General features: G+C 42.3%; 2 pseudogenes; one reads left to right on the top strand and one right to left on the bottom strand.

Annotated features, from left to right (window-relative positions):
- Positions 1-22,833, bottom strand: part of LOC124901865 (translation initiation factor IF-2-like) — a 451,468-nt pseudogene that overhangs the window by 257,404 nt on the left and 171,231 nt on the right.
- PRR23D3P (proline rich 23 domain containing 3, pseudogene) lies at positions 8,320-15,611 on the top strand (annotated as a pseudogene).

The raw sequence follows: 22,833 nt of genomic DNA, 5'->3' as shown, positions 1-22,833 counted from the left end.
TATAATTAGAGCTCTATGCCCCACTCTAACACTTTCAAATGGGGATCTCTTCAGAATCTAAATTTGTAAAATGACTTTTCCAATTAAGTCTCCTGCACAGTGACATTTGAGACCTGTTGATCACTGAACACAGAAGCATCTGAGATCCATTGATCTCTGTCACACACCTCCAGTTAGTTGCAGAAATAGATTCAGGCTCAAATCCAGGATTGCTGCCTTCATGTCCAGTGGCATATCACTGTGTTGCACTTTTCCATTTGTAAAGGAGGTATGGAGAGGGCATGACCAAGTGGTTCACCTTGCTCAACCCCAGGAACAGAAGCTCAAACTTTATTGGGTAGACAGACACATGTACAGCAAATGAACATTCCATGTGTTAAGTTCTACATCCTGATCCGAGACCTGTGGGAGTTTAGAACATGTGCATTTAGACTAATTACGACTGGAGTCATTGGGGTCCAGAGAGGTTTCACAGACAAAATGTCCTGTGACCATTTAAACCAACTGGTTTATCAACTTAGCGTAAATCACTTTAACTGAAACTGAAGGAGTATTGCTGCTAAACTTCCTTTGTTGCCAATATATTTGTAGTTTATGTTCCCATTTGACAATTATTTCCATTCAAAACTGCTCACTTTCATTCTTCTGGGGAACTGAACCGAAAATGTTAAGGACTCTCTGTTCTCTTATGAAAGCCATTCTGCTCATATGGTGCACCTCTGTCCCTGATTGTCTATATCGAGGTATAGAAAGGTCCTTTTCATCCAAACAAAGACATTCCACTGGCCCAGGTGAGCTGCTGACCAAAATGAAGCCACCTATCTTCTGTCTCTATGGTCACCTTCACCTGTGAGGACTATTATCATTCTCATTTGCCACTTAATTTTTTTCCCATTTCACTTTTTTTTTTTTTTTTTCGAAACAAGTCTCACTAGGTGGCAAAACAATCTGTGGAAGCCTTGACAAGTTTAACGAAACTGAGACCTTGAGGGAATCCCCTGGGCAAAATCTCCACTATCTATATGTGGAGAAGGGGCTGTATGAGAAACCAGGAAAACTGATGACAGAGAGAACTGTAGTCTTCTAACCCGTGCACAAGCCCTTCCGGCTGTGTGAACAGCAGAGCGGGCCAGGTAAAGGCTGACTTAGATGAACTGCAGTAAGAGGTGCTCCAGGTGTCTGGATCCACCTCTCCTTCATCACTGAAACTCAACAGGATCTGAGTAGTAGAAAATGGGGCACTTTCCTGATTTTTTTTTTTTTTTTTTTTTTTTTGAGACAGGGTCTCATTCTGTTTCCCAGTCTGGAGTGCAGTGGCACCATCATAGCTGGGATTACAGGCACATGCCACCATGTCTGGCTAAATTTTTTTATTTTAGTAGAGATGAGGTGTTACTATACTGCTCAGGCTGATCTCAGACACCTGAGTTCAAGCAAGCCTCTTTAGTGATTTTAAGAAACTTACAAGAGAGAGCTATGACAAAGCTCTGTGGACCCAAGGCAAACAGTGTAACAGGCTGACTTATAAGGATCACCATCAATCTTAGCAACCTAATCCATTGTCCTTCAATACTGCTGCTCTTCTGGGCTTGACTCTGTTCCTATGACTTTATTCCAATCCTTGGCTGTACCTCTTTTTTTTTTTTTTTTTTTTTTTTTTGGTCAACCGCTGGTCTTTTCAAATAGAACTTACAGAGATCAAAACTCTCACTCTGAAACTGAGTGTACTCCTTCACATTCAAGGTAGGAACAAGAACTACAGGTATAAAGTCTTCTGCATGGACAGGCTTTGGAGCAGCTCTGAATCAGACTCCCTACCTTTGTCCAAGGAAATGCATGTGCATTAGGATCAGATCCCCTCTGAGGAGGTAGGGCTGGTTATGCCCAGGAAGTGATGTGGACACATGTTGCCTTATATACACTGCATTGCATTTTAGATGGACCATCTTCTCATCAGGACTTCTTAGTGACCCAATCAAACAGCCTTCCTACAACCATTGTGCTTTGGTAGAGTTGTAGTTTCTTCTGGAAAAGCTAAGGAAATTTTCTAAGGTAGGACAGAAAAATCTTGTTTTAGATAGTAATCATAAATCATAATTTTAAAAATTATGCTTCAATGTATTGTCATTTTTTTCACTTCTCAGCTTTTTTTTTTTTTTTTTTTTTTTTTTTTTTTTTTTCTTGAGACGGAGTCTTGCTCTGTCACCCAGGCTGGAGTGCAGTGGCACAATCTTGGCTCATACAAGCTCCGCCTTCTGGCTCACGCCATTCTCCTGCCTCAGCCTCCTGAGTAGCTGGGACTACAGGCACCCGCCACTACGCCCGGCTAATTTTTTTGTACTTTTAGTACAGACGGGGTTTCACCGCGTTAGCCAGGATGATCTCGATCTCCTGACCTCGTGATCCACCCGCCTCGGCCTCCCAAAGTGCTGGGATTACAGGACTGAGCCAACGCGCCCAGCCCACTCCTCGTCTTTTATCAGATCCATTTTCTAGGCATGGAATCAGAGACTCAGAGACACAGTGAGCAGACCTTAATTTACCCAGACATTCATTTAGTGGGTTAGTTTCTCGTAAGGGGCTTCCAAATGTAGACAATGTGTGTCCCGTGCAGACTCAAGAGGAATCAATTCAGTCTATTTGAAGACTCCCCAAACTCATATTTTGTAGAAACCAAAAAACAAAATATTTGGTAGAGAAGGTCGAAGTGTCTGAACGGTACATACAGGCAGAGCTACATTACTTGGCTCCTATGTGAAGAGAGAGGGAGCTGCAGAAAAACTAAATGGGAAGGCTCAGATGTATGAATTTCTTCAACTGAAATTGCATACAATCCTGGCTCCTTAATCTGTGTCCACTTCCCAGCAGTTATGGGAGGTATGAGCTCAGCTCAGGGGAAACAAACTTAACAAACTTAGCTCTGGAAATCTGGAGAAGCAGTGAGCAGGGCTGATCCCCCAAGTACCCTGATGAATCCCAGTGTTCTTTCTGTTCAATTACCTAAGGGAAGCTATTCAAGTTTTAAGTCCGTTTTGAATCAAAATATTGATTTTTTTAAAAAAAAAAACTTAAAATTTAAAGAAACTGGTATTAGTTATGGGAAAACCAGAAGGGTACCCTCATTTGGAAATAATCTTTGAGAAATCTTTGCAGTGTGAACAGTTGGGATTTGGTCTTTCCAAAATCCAGCTAGCATGCACTTAAGAAAAAGGAAAATCAGGAAATGTAGAAAATGAAATGCTAACTTACATATTTCACTTTAACATTTATTAAGGATATTAATGGGCCTATTGAAAATTGAAAATGCAGTTTTGCTATTTTAAAAAATGTTCTTGTGTGAGAGTAGACATCCCTTGGTAAATGTCCATGGAAATATTGAACATTTAATTTTTCATTAGTTCTAAACAAAATCATGTATTTCCTAAAAGGTACGCATTTTACATGCCTCAATACCCATAGTTGACACAAAATACTCTGAAACAGAAAACAAAACATTAAACTATCCCATATTTTAAATTAAAAATATTTTTTCAAACAGTGCTGAGAACACTGAAATATGTGAAATTACAATATATTCTAAAACGATTACCTAAGAAAATTAGGGGATGTCATCCACGTTTGTCTCAAAGGAATTCAGATTTATGATTCATCTTAAGAAATGTGAAAAGAACACATTAAATATAAAGATGGATAAAGGAATTTATTAATATACACAGTAACTTTTGTTCTTTTAAAGCAAAGATTCGGGCCTCCTGGGCCCAGCTCAGGTCCTGGCTCAAAAAGTCCCTGGAACAGAGCCCTTGCTTTTGTCCCTGCCTCCCGGGTGATTGAGGAGTAGAAAAGGAACCTACATTCCTCATCCTTGGTGTGAATTTCCACGCTCCCCACCGGCCAACTGTGGCAATTCACATTGTAGTTCTGACAATAAATGGCCCGTTCTGACTGGGCTGGTGGGGGTCCTGGTCCAGCCACCTCCAGCCAGGGGTCCCTGGGTCGTGAAGGCGCCACGACCTGCTCCACTCAAGATGTGCAGCTCCACCCACTCACGCTAGAGAGGAAGAAGAACTTCTGCCATAAACTTTTGTTGTTATTGTTTTGTTTGGTTTGGTTTGAGACGGGGTCTCGTTCTGTTGCTCCGCCTGGAGTGCAGTGGCCCCATCACGGCTCACTGCAGCCTCGACCTCCTGGGCTCGAGTGATTCTCATGCTTCAGCCTCTGGAGGAGCTGGGGCCACAGGCACCCACCACCACACCTGGCTAAGTTTTTGTATTTTTGTAGAAACAAGGTCTCGCTCTGTTGCCCAGGCTCGTCTCAAACTCCGCCCACCTCAGCCTCCCAAAGTGCTGGGATTCCAGGTGCGAGCCACCGCACCCAGCCTCCTAAACTGTTTTTAATTTGTGCAGAATGAACCGGGTCATCAACCACTGTAAGTGGTCTGACTACCCTGACCATAAAGTGTCGGAAACACTCAACTTGCAACTGGTGGAAGCAGCCTAGCCCCACTGCACGTAAAACACTCGCGTTGTGGCAAACGCGGAGACCAAGGCTGCACTGGCCGGAAGTGGGGACAGATCCCGATACGCCCTGGGGACAGAGCAGGGATGCTGAGGCCTGGTCCACACTGGCTCTGCCCTCTTTCTGGCCCACTACCCCATCCTGAGACCGCAGGTTCCGGCGGACCCGGATGCAGGTTTTCCGGATGAAAGGCCCCTTTCCTGGAGTGGACTTTGATATTTTCTGTTCACAACTCCGTGTCACCATCCTCCACACCTAGGATCTGGCGTCTGGTGTCACTGCCGACGTCACAATCCCCGCACCTACGTGTCTCAGCCGCAGTAGCCCTACGTCGCTGTCAGACACTGGGAGGTTGGTGCCCCGCCATGCTTTTGTGTCTTTTGTCTTTTCACCCTCTCCCCTCCCCACCCAGTGCCCCGTCTAAGTCCCCACTCGGAAGTGGATTCTCACCCCTCGCGGCCCTTTGTGGGCAAAGCCAGGAGGAGGAAGGCCACAACCTCCCGCTGGCTTTGGGATTTCTTAGACATCAGTAGTCTTCTAAGGCCCTCCACCCTGCCCGCACCCCTCCTTCATCCTCGCGTCTCTTGGGACACTGCCCTGCTGCCCTCAGGCCTTTCCTTAGTCACAGACTCGGGGAGGCCCCTGAACCCCCTCGGCTTGGACATCACCGGCCACAGTCCTGTGACGCCCTGTGATCTTCTGTCCCAGATCTCATTCCACTGGCTGTGCCTGTCAGGGTGTGCTTAGATTTTGGAGTCCCAGTGTAAGGCGTGCTCTTATTGGGAAGGGGGCTTCTTCATTCTCTTCTTGTGAATGTAGATGTGAAGCCAGGGCATAAGGAGAAAAAGAGAGGCCAAAAGAGAACCAGAGAGCCAGGGAGCTAGGGAGAGTGAGGTTGAAAAAGAAGGTAACGTTGAGTATTGGGAAGCTGTCTCTGATGGATTTTGAAAAGCAGTGATAGTGAAAGAGTTCTAGAAGCTTTGTAGAAGGTGTTGAAAAAAATAGTGAAAGTTACGTGGGCAAGAAATAGTGGGATAGATGACACAGACAAAGAGAATCAGGAGAGAGGTGGAGGACAGAATAGAAAGGGGATTCTGACCAACCACAGCAGAGGAGTAAAGGAAAGAGATCCCCAATTCATTAGGGTTTTTTTAAAAAGTCTTAATTATATTCTCTTTTGTTTCAGATTCAGATGATGAGGCCTCTTTAGATTTTTAGTCTTTATTATATTTTGGAAATATCTTTTAGTACTTAGTAAAGGATTTTACGCTATTTCAATGTGCTCTTGGAAAGGGTATTGGTTTTTTTATATTAACAGTCAAAACCTAGTTTAATCAGTAAGTCTATTCTTCTACTGTCTCCATTATTTCCTTACATGGCCTTTTAACTGGGTCTGTAAAATACAATTTTCAGGGAAGTGTATGTTCCCTTGACCTCTCTCTGCAAATTTTCAAGGATGGACTGAAGTGATCAGGAATTTTGTTCTAGCAGAGCCATTCTGTTCATGATTACTAAATTGCTCAGAGCTAGTTCAAGCCAATAAGTAGGTATCCTTAATTTCATATTTTTGATAATTCAATGAGTTGTTCTGGAAAAAAAGGAATTAAATGCTTGAAATCAGATTATTGTGATTAAAACCATGAGAAAGAAGTTGCTCTTGCTCCAGAGCATGAAATATGGTATAGAATCTTTAGGGCAAAGAGAAGGAAAAACCCTATCACAATTCGTCACAGCACATCATTCTTGTGAAGCTAGTGGTGGTTACTCTCTACTGGCATCTCCTACTGACCTTGCCTGCCCCAAGAGCCAAGTACAGAATGACAAGGCAGCTTGATGAGGGGAGAGTCAAGACTTTTTAAACTAACTACAGAACAAAATTATCTCTCCAAGTAGGAGGGGACACTTGGTGCTATAAATGAATATAAATGACATGAGAATGACATGAGAATGAAAACTGTCAATATAATAAATAGTTTGCAAAAGCTCTAACTTAAAACACACAGGACTTTCAGAGTAGAGAATTCCTAGCTCTGTAAAGAATTTGGGACTCCATTTGAGAGAAGCCTTGGTCTCTACTCACTGTGAACCAACATTCAGCCAGGTACCACCGTTGGTATGTTACCAAAAAAACTCAGTAAAAAATGCTTTCTTAAGAAGGAAATAGGAAAGGAAAGTCTTTACAAGGGCAACTGATCATCTTGTGGATTACCAAATACTGCAGATTTCAGGTCAGAAAACGGAGTCATGGAGAATAAAAAGAAAAAACTAACACACAATTGAGCAAATAATTCATAATTTAGAGAATGTATCTACTCATTAAAAATGTGAAGTGTAAATGTATAACAGTTATGTGACCTGGGAATTTTGAATACAAAATTATGTAAGCAACTTTATTATTTTTTAATAGAAAAATACTTGCAAATATTGAAACAATAAAACCTGTTGCTGAAAAATCTAATATGTTGTTAAAGTTCTAGTTTTATTTATGCAGGTCTGACACATAGATTTGCATAAGCTATCCTTAGCATGTGAGTAGAGATTTCATCCTTCTCTTCCCGTTTCCCCATCATCAACAGCTTTTTTTTCTTCCCACAGCCAAACTCCCTTCATTCCAACTTCCACCAAAACCACTTCTCTGGATCCATCCCTGGAGTTGACACAACAGGGATCTTCAGCCCCAGGTGCCAGGTTTCTCAGTGATCCATTACACAGATTTAACAGGGAAATGGGGGCAGTATCAAAAACACCCAGTATAAACCATTGAATTACCCCAGCCCTTGTCTCTGCCCATGAACAACTGCCTGGGGCCAGAGAATTAGGCATCCCTGCTCTTCTTTCCCTCAGAAAGCCCTTGAGACGTTCTCCTTGAAGCTCCCCTAGGTGGGAGTAGAAGTTCATCTCCTGACACTCCACGTTTTATTCATGAGTCCTGAGTTATGACACAGAGGACACAGTTGTGCTCCCCTTACTATGGACTAGCAGATAAAGCACCTTAACCACTCAGCCACCATGCAAACCCTTCTTATATTTGATTCAATATACTTTTCCGCAAGCAAAATAAAAGTTCTGACCAAGGAGGCGTCGTCTGATTTGACTCTAGAACTTGGAAATGCATTGGCTTTTAGCAAATCTCAGTACTGAATGTAAACTTCAAGGAGAAATGGTTCCAGGAAATAAATTGGGATGACATTGAACTTTTAGCAAACTGCAAAATCCTGAAACCATGGACTTACTGAGGCCAATTAAATGGGCTAATTCATGGGTGGAAGTGGTACATCCTAAAAATTCTCCACAAGTGATTCTACACTGAAGCCAGGGTTTTTGTCAAGTACTGTGTGAGGATGAGGATGGCCATCTGCTTGGCAAGCCATCTGGTCCAGGCAGGGCTCACATTATTGTTCACAGTTTAACCTATTTAATTAAATAGTAATTTTCCCCCAAATCTTACATGACATAAGCTGTAGTCCTGAGCCACATTAAGATGTACTATTTATGCAGTAAAATTGTATGGGATTTGACAAATGCATAGCAGCAGTTTTCCAGCATTAAAGTATCACAGAACCCTTCTCTTATTCAAGCTCCTCTTCCGTCCACATACAGGGAATCAATCGCCTTTTGTATATGGTCCTTGGACGTTGCTTCTTTATTTCAGTTATCTTCCATCAAAGCAAATGATACCGTGCTCTATTTTCATTTGATCCTCCAAAAGAAAGGTACTGAATAATCTAAACCAGAATTTCAGCCATTGAGAGACTTAGGTCCATCGCTAAGCGGTAGAAGCCAAGCCTCTTGCGCTGCAACCCCATGGCCGGCAGAGGGCGAGGGAACACGCCGTCCCGCCCTCCGGGGCGCATGCGCTTTCTGCCTGCGGAGGCGGGGCTGGGTCTCCAGGAAGTACGTGAGTTTCCTTTCCTCTGGTCAGGGAGGAGGCGCCGCCCTGGCTTTGGGGCAACTAAGGCGATGTCCATCAGGAGGAAAACTTCCTGTCCGCAGCCCTAACTGCTGAGAAGGGAGATTCGCTGCAGAGTATCCCGGATATTTTTCTGAAACAGCCATAAAGACTTCATTTTCAGGGCTGTTGCCACGTGTTTTATTCTGTATTTTCTGTTGGGATACTTTAGCATTATTTTACAAATGTATAAATTTGGGGTTAGGGAGGGCTTTCTGATAGATAATAGAAGCAGGCTGTAACATGTCCTCCCTGTGACCTCATTGAGGATTGATTGTGAGGAGAAACAAGAAGAATTGTGAGGAAAATCTACAGAATACGGGGACCCTGCAGAGGAAGGGGTCGGGTCAGGGCAGGGCCACACAATTTCAGTGCAGCCCGTGGGAAAGGGGCCCTTGCAGGGAAACCCGCGCTCTGCCTCCGTGCATTTCCACATTGTGAGGGGCTCATCTTTCCTACAGTGCTAAAGTCACTGAAAAATAGACAATGAAAGAGAGGGACATTAATTCAACATTCAGTTGTTGACGATAAAGCATTCAGAACCACATCTTTCTCTTCATCACAGCACTGCAGATGTAAAAAATGGTTTTAATTTCAAAGGCAAGGGGAAGAGGTACACTTGTGAACAAGTTTGGACCCCAAATGAAAATATATTGCTTAAATATTTCTTCAAAAATAAGTCATTATTCTGTGTTGCAGGATATATCCTGAGATTTTTAAGCTATAACTTTATTAATTTATTGGTTAAAACACATTTTGTTTATAGCCAAAGCGATTATAAAGGTAGAATATTTGGCAAGTCCCTCATATTTTTCTTCTTCTACTAGGTTTTCAGCTAGAATTGACACACACAAACTCACAATGAGGGGCCTCTTTCTTGACCATAAAATATGCATACTCCAGAACCCTCAGTGTAAGCTGTTTCTTGAATATCTTAACCTGATCCCCACAACCAGAGAGAATGTAGAGAAGTAACCCGTTTTTTTTTTTTTAAACACAGTCTCGCACTGTCACCAGGCTGGAGTGCAATGTCGTGATCTTCGCTCACTGCAACCTCCGCCTCCCGGGTTCAAGCTATTCTCCTGTCTCAGCCTCCCGAGTAGCTGGGATTACAGGTGCCCGCCACCACACCCAGCTAATTTTTTGTATTTTTAGTTGAGATGGGGTTTCACTATGTTGGCCAGGCTGGTCTCAAACTTCTGACCTCCTGATCCGCCTGCCTCGGCCTCCCAAAGTGCTGGGATTATAGGCATGAGCCACCGTGCCCGGCCAAGTAACCCAACTTTAAAACTACATCTGGTTGGGCACCATGACTCATGCCGGTAATCCCAACATTTTGTGAGGCGGACATGGGCAGATCACTTGAGGTCAGGAGTTTGAGACCAGCCTGGCCAACATGGTGGAACCCCGTCTCTAACCAAAATACAAAAAGTAGCCGGGCATGGTGGTGCACACCTCTAATCCCAGCTACTCGAGAGGCTGAGACAGGAGAATCGCTTGAACCTGGGAGGCAGAGGTTGTAGTGAGCCAGACTGCACCACCTCACTCCAGCCTGGGCAACAGAACACAACTCCGTCTGAAAAACAAACAAACAAACTACATCTGATCTTCAGCAAAGTATCTGCTGTTCTGCTCAGAAAAGACCGAAATCCACAAAGCAGACAGACCTCTGAATAAAGACACTAAGGTCCGCCGTGGGCGCTTTTAAGAAGTTAGCAGGGCCTGTACTTCACCTAATAAGACTGAGGAGGATATCAGCTAAATGGAAAGAATCTACAAACAAATTTATACAATTTCTAGGGAGAGAATGACATCCTGAGCTCAAGGGCCTGTTAGTGACGGCACATTCAGTAATGGTGCAGCCTCACAGAATTTCCATTTAGTTCAATTTTGGTATTTACTGGTCATCTTTTCTCCCCAATACCATCCAACCTTTTTTATGTTGTCAAATAATTTTTAATCATAAAATGATTAACTCTGAGTTTGGGCATTTGGTGTCTGGCCTCCTGATGGAAGTTTAGGTGACTTTGTCCATGGAAATCATGGATTTTTAATTAATAAGTAATGTTGAAAGGGAAACTTGCATTATAATTCTGAAACCATTCCAGTGGGGGATACAGGCAAGAAATAAGCCAACAGACAGATTAGCACATAGTGATATATTAGAAATTAAGTAAAGGTCCTTTTGGTATTTTTCCCAGCTCATCTTATGATATGAGCCTATTATGTTTGGATAACTTTCCCCAGGAGATTCATTTTAAAAGTTCTTTCACTTAAAATACATATTATTTTATTATTTAAAAATACTGTCACCAGAAGCGGTGGCTCACGTCTGTAATCCCAGCACTTTGGGAGGCCGAGGTAGATGGATCACTTGAGGTCAGGAGTTTGAGACCAGCCTGGCCAGCACGGTGAAACCCCGTCTCTACTAAAAATACAAAAATTAGACAAGCGTGGTGGCACATGCCTGTAATCACAGCTACTCGGTACTCTGAGGCAGGAAAATCACTTGAACCCAGCGGGTGGAGCTTGCAGTGAGCCGAGATCGTACTACTGCATTCCTGCCTGGGAGACAGAGTGAGACTCCATCTCAAAAAAAAAAAAATACTGTCAGCCCTCCACATCCATGGGTTCCAGCTCCATGGATTCAACTAAACTTGAATAGAAAATATTCAGAAAATATTTACACAATTTCCACCCCCCGACAAAAAAAAATTTGAATTTTCCCTTCACCAAATTCTTTGTTGAGAACACGTAAGTAATGTAAGGTCTGGGCATTGTATTAGGTATTATAAGTAATCTAGAGATAATTTAAGCTATATGAATTAATATGAGTAAGTTACATCTAAATTCTCTACCACTTTATACAAGGAAGTGGAGCATCCACAAATATTGTTACCTTCAAAGTTTCCTAGAACCAATCCTTTATGTTTACCCAGAAATGATTATGCACATGAAACTTACAGAAAATAATTGTCTTTCCTAATTAATGAATAGTATACAATAGAATGTAAATAGCACTATTTTAAAATGCTGATATTTTATATCACATTTCTATGGTGAATCAGAGTAGAGGTTACATTAGATTGATTTTGATTAGATTAGGCTAATTCTAACAGGGGCACACCCATATCACTTGAGTTTTGATAAAAGCACTCCCATGCAGGTCCTACTACTTAATCAGCAGCACTAGCCAATCGTGTTCATCCATTTTGATAAATCCCACAGCTCTCTCTATTATAAAACTTTTGGGATTTGCCCAAGATTTCATTCTACCATAGCGTCATTCAACCTGTCCCAGGCCAGGGCACACTATTCCATGTTCTGGATGTGCCGAGCTGATCATCTTCTTCAGGAAAAGTAAAAGATCAAGTCATAGACTGTATAGATTTATAAGAAAATAAGATGAAGATTGAAATTTTCTGATACAAGTGAGTCTAGAGAACCTTTACCATGTATGGTTACTGGCGCCAAAGAAGCCTTAGTGATTCCTGGACAGAATCGCAGAATGACAATGAAGGAGAGAGCAGGTATGTTAGTGTGTGTTCACCTTGGGTTGCCAGGAGGTTGCCATGTGACTATGTGTGACTGTGTGCATTTGTGTGTGTGTGTGGTGTGAATGTGTGATAAAGGGTCAAACTAGGGCAGAGAAAGCACCCTGGCCTGCCATGACATTGAACGTTATAAATTTAGAACACCTGCCGGAGACATGAGACCCACAGTGGAGGCCATAGGATCCTGCCAGCATGGGGGGTTTCTGGACCTGTCAGGGGGCTCATCTCAGGTTTCCTCCCACTGTCGATCTATGTTCCCTCTCTAAATGAAAGTCACCTCTTGTGCGGAGACAGGTAAACTGTGGGCATGATCTAAATTTCTTCCCTGTGCTCATTAGAAAATGAAACATTTCCCATCATCTCTCACTCCATTCACACTGTAACTGCACAGACACGGTGCTCAGATACCTGAAATAACAACGTCTTCCCTGAAAATCCTCAGACCAAATTAGATGTCCCTTCTCAGATGGATGAGCTCCTGAGAAAGCAAACTGTTTCCTGTGGTCACCATCCCTTATCACACACATTCACCGATAGGAAAAGCCATTAGAAAAGTTGAGGGTGGGAGATGAGCATTAGGACTTACTGGATGCAGGTAGGATTTGGAGCCCAACACAAGTGCACTTGACTGAGGGACACAGAAAGAATGTGTGCTGGATGATAAATGGAGTTTTGGGCTTGTGAGAATTAGACTCTGTGTGGAAGACTAACGGATCCCTTTCTGTCCTGCAGCTTGGCTACCACGCAAATGAATCCACCCAAACGTCACCAAGTGGAGCAGGGTACCAGTATAGGTAAGGCAATTTCCCTGATATTTCTTAAGATCTCCCTGCCTGGAGGTCAGTGTCATGTCTCACAATCTTATAAAAGGAGAGGGTGCTTTCTGCAGGATGAGTGGAAAGTCATGCTTGATTGATGGGGGCTGGTGTCCTGAGGCTGGCCTGTGCTGGGTTGTGGATTTCTGAAGGTCATATTCTGAAATCCAAGAGACTCTTGCTGGAAGAGCCTTAACCTCCCTCACTGTGATCTCTCTGCAGGTGCAAAAACACCCTCAATTCCAGGAGCTCCACACTGAATTCAGGCCAGTCCCTGGAACCTCCCCAGGTAAGTTATTATGTCATTGCATGGCAAAGATTGCAAAACACCCTCAATTCCAGGAGCTCCACACCAGAATTCATGCCCGTCCCAGAAACCTCCCCAGGTAAGTTCGTATGTCCTTGTATGGCAAAGATTGGACAGTGCTGCACACTCTTCAAGCTCAAGAGACATCCAGTGGATGTACATTTAGGTGGGTCAGCATGAGAGTCAATTCTGGGAGGGAGTGTATTTTAAACTTGTAGCGGGTGAAGCTCCTGGCAACTCCCTCCGCATCAGCATCATTTGCAGCCTTTTTGGAGAATACTGACGGCCATCTTTTCACGGGAGCAGCAGGATTCCAGCAATGAGGAGCTCATCATAGTCCTAGAACAAGGGACAGAAGTGAGGTTGAGCCTGGAAGAGGTCATCCTCATCTTGGCCCCAGAGACAGCGCTGCAGCTGACCGTGGAGAACACAGTCCTTGTGATTGTTCCTGGCATATCCTGAGGTCACAAGATGGCCTGCAGTCCCCTGTGCAGATCCAGTACATCATGCCTTCCATTGATGACTTCAGCTTGGAGTGCCATGCTCAAGATGGAGACATCTCAGACATGAAAGGAGAGAATGTGCCTCTTTCACCTGCAGAAGAAGGGGAGGCAGCACCCCTATATCACCAGCCCTTGATGATATCCCCAGCAAACCACAAAGCTGGGATCAGCCCTTTTCTTCTAGTAACCCCATTGTGCATTCCATGCTGTCTGGCAGCCTTCCCCCAACGCTACCCTCTACCACCCACATCTAGTCCCATGGGACGCCCTAGACCAGCCAACTCCAGTTTCAGCCTGCATGGTATGGAGCTACTGTGCACCTCCTCCCTCAGCCGTATGCCCCCTTCACCAACTCCTGGTCCCCAGATCTATCACAGGGTTCACCATAGGCCTCCCAGCAGGGCACAGAGATGTCTCTTTAGGAAGTGATTTAACCAAGAGTCACCCCCTGCATTGATAGGTCAGAGATTGTCCAAGTCCTTAGTCAGTGCATTCCCTGAAATGTGGAGAGAAAGTAATTCCAAGGACCGCTTGCTTCCCCTTTGCTGTTTCCCATCAACACCCACTGTCTTCAACAGCAGAGGGCTCCAGATGCTGCAGGGAGGGGGAGAACCGCAGGGAGTTCAAATAAAACATTCACATTTCACTTCACACACAATGTCCCTTAGACTTTCTCTTCCTATTTAACCACATACATCCAACCACACTCAATCGAATCCCTGACTGCTCCATGTGAGAGTTCTGCTTCCAGCATGATGTGGCCTGAAAATTCATCTGAAGACAGCTGCTCACTCCCAGGGCTAACACCGCCCCTTGCATGCTGATGTCCTTGTAGTCATTGGTCTGATGCCACAATAAATAATTCCTAAGGCTGGTGCTCTATTTCTGCCCTGAGACTCTCCCCTTTTTCTCCAAGCTGTGCCCCATTCCTTGTTTTAGTCCAGGTTCCCTACACTCCCCAGGCCAATGCTTTTGAATAAATCTTGACGTCATTGAATGAAGTAGTGGTGACTGCTGTGCTTGCTTCCAACTGAGACAGTCTCCTGCTCTCACTCATCACGTTTCCATTCACACTTGCCTTTGTTTAGTTTTGTTTTCCATTGTTTGGGTTTATTATTCACGTGCTTATGAAATAACTGCCACATTTCTGACAGTTTTTTTGGCCAATTTGGGGCTTTTCCTGTGCTCCTCCTTCCAAGTCCTGAGTGGGGTCACTGTTTGCACCTCTGGGCCCTGGGATGGGTCTGGCTTAGCAAGTGATTGAACAGAGCTTGGCTCTGTGTGTTCGGATGGGCACCTGCGCTTGTTCACAGCTGCTCCCAGGCTCTCCCTGTCCTGCCTGGGTGTCCCTGTGTCTCTGGAGTGTCTAGGAAATCTAGCAGTCCCCTTGAGGGCCCAGCACCTCTTTGTTGGCCTGCATGTCCCAGCCTGTGCATCCATGGCCAGCTAGAGCTACCACCACCTTTTCCTAGTCAACCTGGGTCCTGGAGGCAGGGGAGATGCGGGGATAATGTCCTGGCCTCCCTGAGCCCAACCCCAGTAGGTGGGGAGTGCTCATGTCCCCGGGGGGAGTACGGGGCGTTTGCCCTTGACTTGCCTGACCCTCTAAAACCTCACATGTTCCCTGGAGGTGGGTGCAGCTTTCTCCTACTCTGGCCTTGCTGGCCTGGGAAGAGTGTCCTTGGTCCCCCGAGCCCTCACAGCGTTTTCTCTTCTACTGAGGTTTCAGGAACTGCCTTTCCCCTCTGGGAAGGAGGACAGGCACCTTTTCAGGTTTGATTCTCCTCAGAGTTTTGTATCTCGGCTGGGGCGGAAGCAGCCTTCGTCCACATGAGAGGCCCAGCCAGGGCGTCCTCACCAGCCCGGGCCTCCGGGGAGGTTTTGAGTCTGGGCGCTGGAGAGGCCCCTTCCTCTGCGAGAGCGAAGATGGCCGCCCCAGTGCAGGGGGCGCCTTTCTGCGCCCTTAGGGCGTCAGGATCCCCCTACGGACGGGAAGTCCCATTGGGCGTCTTTGGCCCCGCCCTCCCAGAGCCCTGCTGATGCGGAGGTGGCGCGGGGGCCCTGGACTCTGTCATGAGAGGTGGCAGCAGAGGCCAGGCAGGGCCCGGGCTCCGGGTCAAGGGAGTGTCTGGCCTGGGTGGGACTGGGTCCCATCCAGAAACTGGGATTCTAGGGTTCTGGTGCGGGTGGATCCGGGGCAGGCTCAGGACCAAGTCCCTCTTCTTCCACCTCAAGGACTCACCCCGGGGCTGGCGGGAGCTCCAGGCTCAGCAGCTGCTCCTCCTCCTCCTCCTCCTCCACTCCTCCCCTCCCCTTCCCTTCCCCCTCCTCTCGCCTTTCCCCTCCCCCTTCTCCTCCTCCTTCTCCAGGTGTTTTCTCTTCTTTTATTTCTGTGAGTTGAGAAATGGCGCCGTCCTTCACATCGGTGTATTTCTACCCTAATCCCCAGTACCTTGTTGAGTAAAGCAGTCAAACTCTGCAATATATTGAAGAGCCCTCAGGAGGTCCTCAGAACATGTGCCCAAGGTAGTAAGGGTGCAGCTTCGTTTACTTCGGGCCAATTGGTCTCCATAGGTATAACATCCTGACGAGGGTATAAATCAAGTGCAACAAATGCCTGGTGTTCTATATCTAAATTGTTACAGGATTTGTTAACAGTAGACACACCTATTTTTCACACCACTTGTATTGCACTATATACTGGTATGTGTTTGGGAGAGAAAACAATGTTCTTTAAAGGAGAAGTCATATGATTCTATACTTTCATTTTGTTGTCCTTTCCCACAGAAATGGCCCTTTCCCATATAACAAATGTTATGTGCTATGGGAGTGGATATTAGGGGCTAAGTTGGGGAAAATTAGGGTTCTAAGTGGACTGAGGGCATAACCATTCCCCTTTTCTGTTTTCACAATCTGAAAAGGAGATGGGACGCCATGTGTTATCATGAGCTGAAATAGTCCACCTATTTCCCCAGGGGAGTATTTCTGTATTGTTTACAATGCCTGCCAGTTGAACCACAGAATACCTTTGAGCCTCATTTAACTTTGGTGCCTATGCTCTGAGAATACCATGTTTAAGGTCACATTTACCATCCGAAATTTTCCATATGTTTGGGGGGCCGTGTATTTTCCACAGGTGTTTGGATTGTGCCTCGGCACAGATGAGTATAGGCCATTGCTTCATAGCCACCTTAGATTGTGTTTGTAATGAAATAGACATGAGCCCCTGTTGGGTTACAGAACATGCTCATTGCCACCTTCGGGTTTGAGAGTATGTTTTTATGTTTTGTTTGGTTTCTCCTATCCATTTGATGAGTGTTGCATTATTTTTTAAAGGAGCTTCCCATCCTTTTCCATCTTCCTGGAATAACATTCCTTCTATGTGGGCTATTTTTGACAGAAAACTTTTCTCTAAGAGATGCCTCTCCTCGTTAGCTATGAACTCAGCTTACACCAATATACCTAGGCCAGCTCCAACTTTTCCAGTGAGGTCAAGTTTTAATTTCTGGGTGGCGAATTTTGCTGGATTCATCAGGATTGCTGTTGCCATTGTATACTAATGGCATTAGCACAATTTGAAACTATATGTGCAATTTATACTTGGGAGTATTATACCAAGAGGCTTTGTCATAAGGCATCTTTATCCTATCAGTAAATATTTTCTTTTAAATCTATGAGAAGCAGAAAATTGTTTATGGTTGGGGTGGATGCAAAAGTGACACACTATAGTCTAGAAGGAAATGTCCCTTGTTTTGCCGGCTGTACCATCTTTGTACCCCTCCTTGATTTGGAGAGTTTGACATGGACCTAAGTTCATGCCCAAAACTAGCTCTTACAATCTCATGTGCCTGCCTCTTCCAAGACAGTCCCTGAGCCTAGAGAGAGGGTGCTTGTATAGTTTTAGCATCAGAAGATTCGCGGTGAAATACAGATCTGAACCCAGTGGGATGTCAGCTGAGGGGGATTCATATCTCTAGTCTTCAGAATACCGTAATTTTGGTTTCCTTGGAAGTAAAACAAGGAGAGGTAAATAACATTTATAGTTTCACAATCAAAAGATTATTTGTGTGTCAGAATGGAAAAAGGAACCTACTTCATTAGGGAACCAGCTAAAAATATGGAGATAAATTATGATCTGGTACTCTCTAGAGGATTATTATAGCAAAGAAATAATGATTTAATCTGCACTTAAAAAGAGTTAGGACTGAAATCTAGTACTAATCCTTAAGCTTTTCCTTTTAAACAATTGTTCTATCTGCATTTTTTTTAGAGATTATAGTAAGACCAGTTTGTGTGCCAAGTAAGTTTTAGTCTTATCATGGTTGGCCGGATTATTTGCTTAAAATGCAGCAAGAATTGATTGGCCACATAGATTCATTTTAAGTTGGCTTTGCTGGCACCTTACCTAAAAATATACCACTTTAGTTCAAGTCTCTAATTGTTTTAAAGACTCTTATTGAAACTTATGCAAACAACCATATTGTCATAAAATTAGGATCTGAATTTTGGAGAACTCAGAAAGATAATTTGCTTACAAAAACAAACTTCATCAAAATGAATTAAAGAAAAAGATTGTCTGGACCCTCCTTTAACAAGAGCAGTGGCTTTCACACAAGATGTTTGTTTATCATCTTGGAAATGTCATGCACAAGCCAAACCGCTCCTGAGAGCTGTCTATCAGGCACTATGCAATCTAGCAGCTCCTCACAGAGTTAGAATTAGTCCTAGGAATGAGGCTGCCTGCTTATTAGTATCTCCTCCTTATATCCCCATGTAGCAAGATTCTATGTAAACCATTTTTATTTTATCACGAAACTCTTTTGGGGCAACATTATTTCCACTATCATAGAAGTTGGTTCAGTTAGCATTCCATAGTAAGGTACTAAATGTCCCTGAGCTAGAAATTCCCTTGTTCTATCTTTGTCATCAGGAAGAACTCACAGTTTTTTTTTTTTTTTGCCATCAGCCCCAATAAATGTTACACAAAGGGCTATGAAGTGCAGGATTTGTCCCGACTAGCACTCCAGCTTCTACCCTATACTTTGTGGGCTTAGGCAGTCTTACTAGTTCCCATTTGGCATGTCCAATTAACATTTCTCAAAAGAGCAGATTTATATGCCTTCAGTTTTATACTACTAGAAAGGGGAAACCTCTCCCAGGTAGTAAAGGAGGTTACAACTACCTTACATAAAACCTGTTTAAACATTTTAAATTTCATAACTCTATTAACCTGTATGTTTATATGTTCTGGTCCCAGAATTTTTTTTTAATACCCCCAAATCATTTTACCTTTTCTATTGAAAAAGGGTTTGGTTTCTCAGCAGGGAGTTGCATCTGTAAGACCTCTAAGGGGCAGCAAATTTGATACGACTCCTCAAACACTCTCATGATTTTGTGGGAGGAGCATCCATGTAAAAGGGGCCCTCTTAGCACCCAAATTTAACATAACCTGGGTAACAGACAGTTTGGTGGGAGCATATCCCAGTCATTATTAAGCCAGTCCAACATGGTTCACATAAGAAGCATATTAACTGCTCCATCTGGGGTGTTTCACTTGGTATTTTATTGGGAGAGTTAGGTAGTCCCCTACTCAGAGAAAACAGACTTTATGGTGGCATTTTCTGGGTATATTATGATGATTATTCTCTTAGGAATAACCTCCTGGGTATTTGGATCACATGTTAGTGGTTGTTCAATAGTGAACTGTGGGTCCTGCATTAACCCAAACAAGCTCTTAAATCGTGTAACATTTAAAATTAAGAATCTTGTCCTTAAAGTGTTTTTTCTCAATCCATCATAGTAAGGATTTTTTAAAGAAGCTGATGATACTAAACTACAAAATGGAACAATTCTTTACAGTATACCCTCTGGTTCTAAATAGTTAGTTTTGCTCTTCCCCCACATTGATTGACTATCATTTTGGTAGCCACGGGTCTCAGAGTTAACTTTTGTTGCCCTAGCTTAATTACTCTTTTTATTTAGTTATATCCGTATAATTTTTCCTTTCATTTTAAAGCAACTCTTAAATAGTTTTCTAGCTAGAGGAAAAATATATTTTCTTTTTTAAGCAAAGTCAACATTTTTATGCTTTATAAAATTCACCAAAAACAAATTTTATGCTCTTGCTATTTTAACTTTCAGCAATCCAAATTTCCAGTGAAAAATAACCTAACCTGAGATTTTAACATGACTTGAAGCTTTTAAATTACTGGAGAGTTTTGAGATGGAATTTACCACATTAATTTTACCAAAGATTCTTAAGGTTATGAAAATTAAAAGGGCATTTGAGATAGCTTGTACCAGTCTAACAAGCAGCTATATTTCTTTAAGAAAAGTTACTTGTCTAGAGCTCTTTCATGTAGTTTGGGAGTTAAATACCACTTCCACATGACACATATAAAGATAGAGATATAACACTCATGCGGAATAAAAAGGCAGGTCCAAAGGATATTTCATTTGACTGTTTTTTTAAAAAAATTCCCTTTCTTACTTTAGATAATTAATAAAAGTTACAGGAGCCAACAAAAGGTGAAGGAGAGAGCTATCATCCATGGCCCTTTCAAAGAGGAAGAGCTGAAGTTTTGACCTATTTTATCTGAAGAATTTCAAAGAGACAGATTCTAGAATTTAAAATTTAATAACTTTTTGCATTAGTAATAAGTTAATATTTTTAATAAAAATCTTGTTTTAACCAATTATTTCAGTTTTACATTAGTGTATATTTTTAAATATCGAAGATCCATCCCTAGAAAGACTATTATAATTCCTTTTTAATGGTAGCCAACTGAATTATACAACCCCTTTAAAAAAATATATTTTTACTAACCCTGTTATGACTTACATAGACCACTCAAAACATGTTTAGACTTTCTGTTTTTTCCTAAATATTCCTCTTTCTTGAATGACCCAGTCATTTTATTCTAGGGCAAAAATTTACTACACAAGATTCTTTCTGATATAAAATTATTTTCCTTTATCCCTTCTCTATAAAAAGGTACCACTTTAAATTTTTTTACATTTCTTTTTTTCTGGTTCTTTTTATACATAACATTTAAGTAGGCTGTCAGTTACACAAAGATATTTACATTTTAATAAGAACACTTAAAAATTTTTTATAATTTTTAAGTTTTGAATTACCTGTATACTCAATATTTATGAATAACCTTAGATCCTAAATTATATGACAAGTTTGTTTACAAGCATTTATTCCATCACATTTCCCTGATTACATTATTCAATAGTTTACCTAGATTATTGACCAAAACTGTAACAGTCCTTCTGTAAGTTATTTCCCTGTTACCCTTTTTTATAGCTGTGCATTTTAGGTGTTTACTTACATAGGAAACCTAAAGTTAAATATAAGAGTATTTTTACAAATAATTTAGGATTTCATTAAAAGAATATTCCATGTCTTTCTTGTCTAAAATTACACAAGCAAAGATCATTTTGTCTTGGTCTGGCTTTCATAATTTTATAACCCTTATGGTTAATCTTATATTATTCTGCAGGATTAAGCATGGAATTACTTGATCAATAAACACAAAACAAAAATGCTAACAATTTTTACGACATTTCTAATTTTACTTTACCCATAATTTTAAAGCCAGCTCATTTATTAAATATTTTAAGTCAAGTGACCTTAAAAAGCATTTGTGTAGTCTTTTATTTGATTAAGTATCTGATTTATGTGCTTTTATTTTTAAAGCCAATTAGAGCTCTTGTATATATTTTTAATAGTGAAACATTGTGTACACAACACATAAATACATAGATGTATTAGGCATGCCAATAGATGTACATCTTATAGATTCATAAGATCCTATTTTTTCCTGTCTTAGGTTTTCAAATTCTTGATAACCTGTTTGACTACCTTAGGTAGCTGTCAGCTAAATAGCCTTACTCTGCATATCAAAGGAAACAATTCATAGGTGAAAATCAGATAGGAAACTTACATCTGAGGAACACAGCGAAATAGTCTGTTGTGCTAGACAGAAATTAAAATGGATGTAACTGCTACATAACATAAAATTATAGAAATCATAAAAGCCTTTTAAATATATACATGCACATATTTGCACAGAAAAGAAAATCCTGTAGCTTTTGGTTGAGAACTTTAGGAATGATATGAAACTGGCTTGAAAAACGAACAAACAGACAAACAAAACCCTGTTATATCCAAACAGTGGCTTTTATCTCAGTCATAATGTAACAGCTGATATAAAGCAGGCAGAAAAGAAAAGAGAGAAAAAGAGCCTTAGGAAATCTATAACTTGCAGGTCGACCTTAGGGCTTTTTTTTTTTTTTTTTTTTTTTTTAAATGTGCACAAAGACCACGTTACTTCCATTTTACATAAAGTCTGGCTAGTAGAGTTGTCGTAAAATCTAAGAAGTGCTTGAAAGTGGGTCATTCTCCTTGTTTTCTCCTAAGTTTTAGATTTTTTTCTCACCTTTTTTTTAAGGAGGAATTGAGCTGTGGAATAGAGCTTTTGTGGAGTGGGTCAAAGGGTGCTGCTTGTAGGCAGGACTCCAGAGTGTGTCACCACTGTGTCACTCCTGCCCTCTTACATGTCTCAATTTTTCTCTCCAGAGGTCTAAGCAACTCCTCAAGTTTTTTAAGAGAACAATACTTGCAAATATTGAAACAATATAGCCTGTTCCTGAAAAATGTAATATGTTGTACAAGATCTAGTTTTACTGATGCTGCTCTAACACTTAGAATTCCTTCTGCACTCTTTGGCATGTGGGCAGAAATTCCACCCCTTTCTTCGAGTCCCTGCCTTCTTCAAGAGTTTTTTATTTTTGCCGCACAGCCCATGTCCCCTAATTCTAACTTCCAACAAAAATATTTGTCTCCATCCATCCCTGGAGTTGTCAAAACAGGGATCTTCATGCCGGGTTTCTCAGTGAGCCATTACACAGATTTAGCAGGGAAATGGGAGTAATATCAAAGACACCTTGTATAAACCATTGGATGACCCCAGCCCTCGTCTCTGCCCATGAACAGCTCCCGGGGCAGAGAGTCAGGCAGCCCTGCTCTTGTATCCCTCAGAAAACTCTTGAGATTTTGTTCCTAAAGCCTCCCAAAGAGGGAAAAGGAATTCATCTCATGACATCCCACTTTTCATTCAAGTGAGTAATTGCGTTATGACACAGACAAGGACACAGCATTGCTCCCCTTACTATAGCCTAG

This window comes from Homo sapiens, chromosome 8, assembly GCF_000001405.40.
Source record: "Homo sapiens chromosome 8, GRCh38.p14 Primary Assembly".
In the NCBI taxonomy this organism is placed as follows: Eukaryota; Metazoa; Chordata; class Mammalia; order Primates; family Hominidae; genus Homo; species Homo sapiens.
The sequence above is the reverse complement of the archived record's forward strand: the minus strand, read 5'-3'. Positions and strand labels throughout refer to the sequence as shown.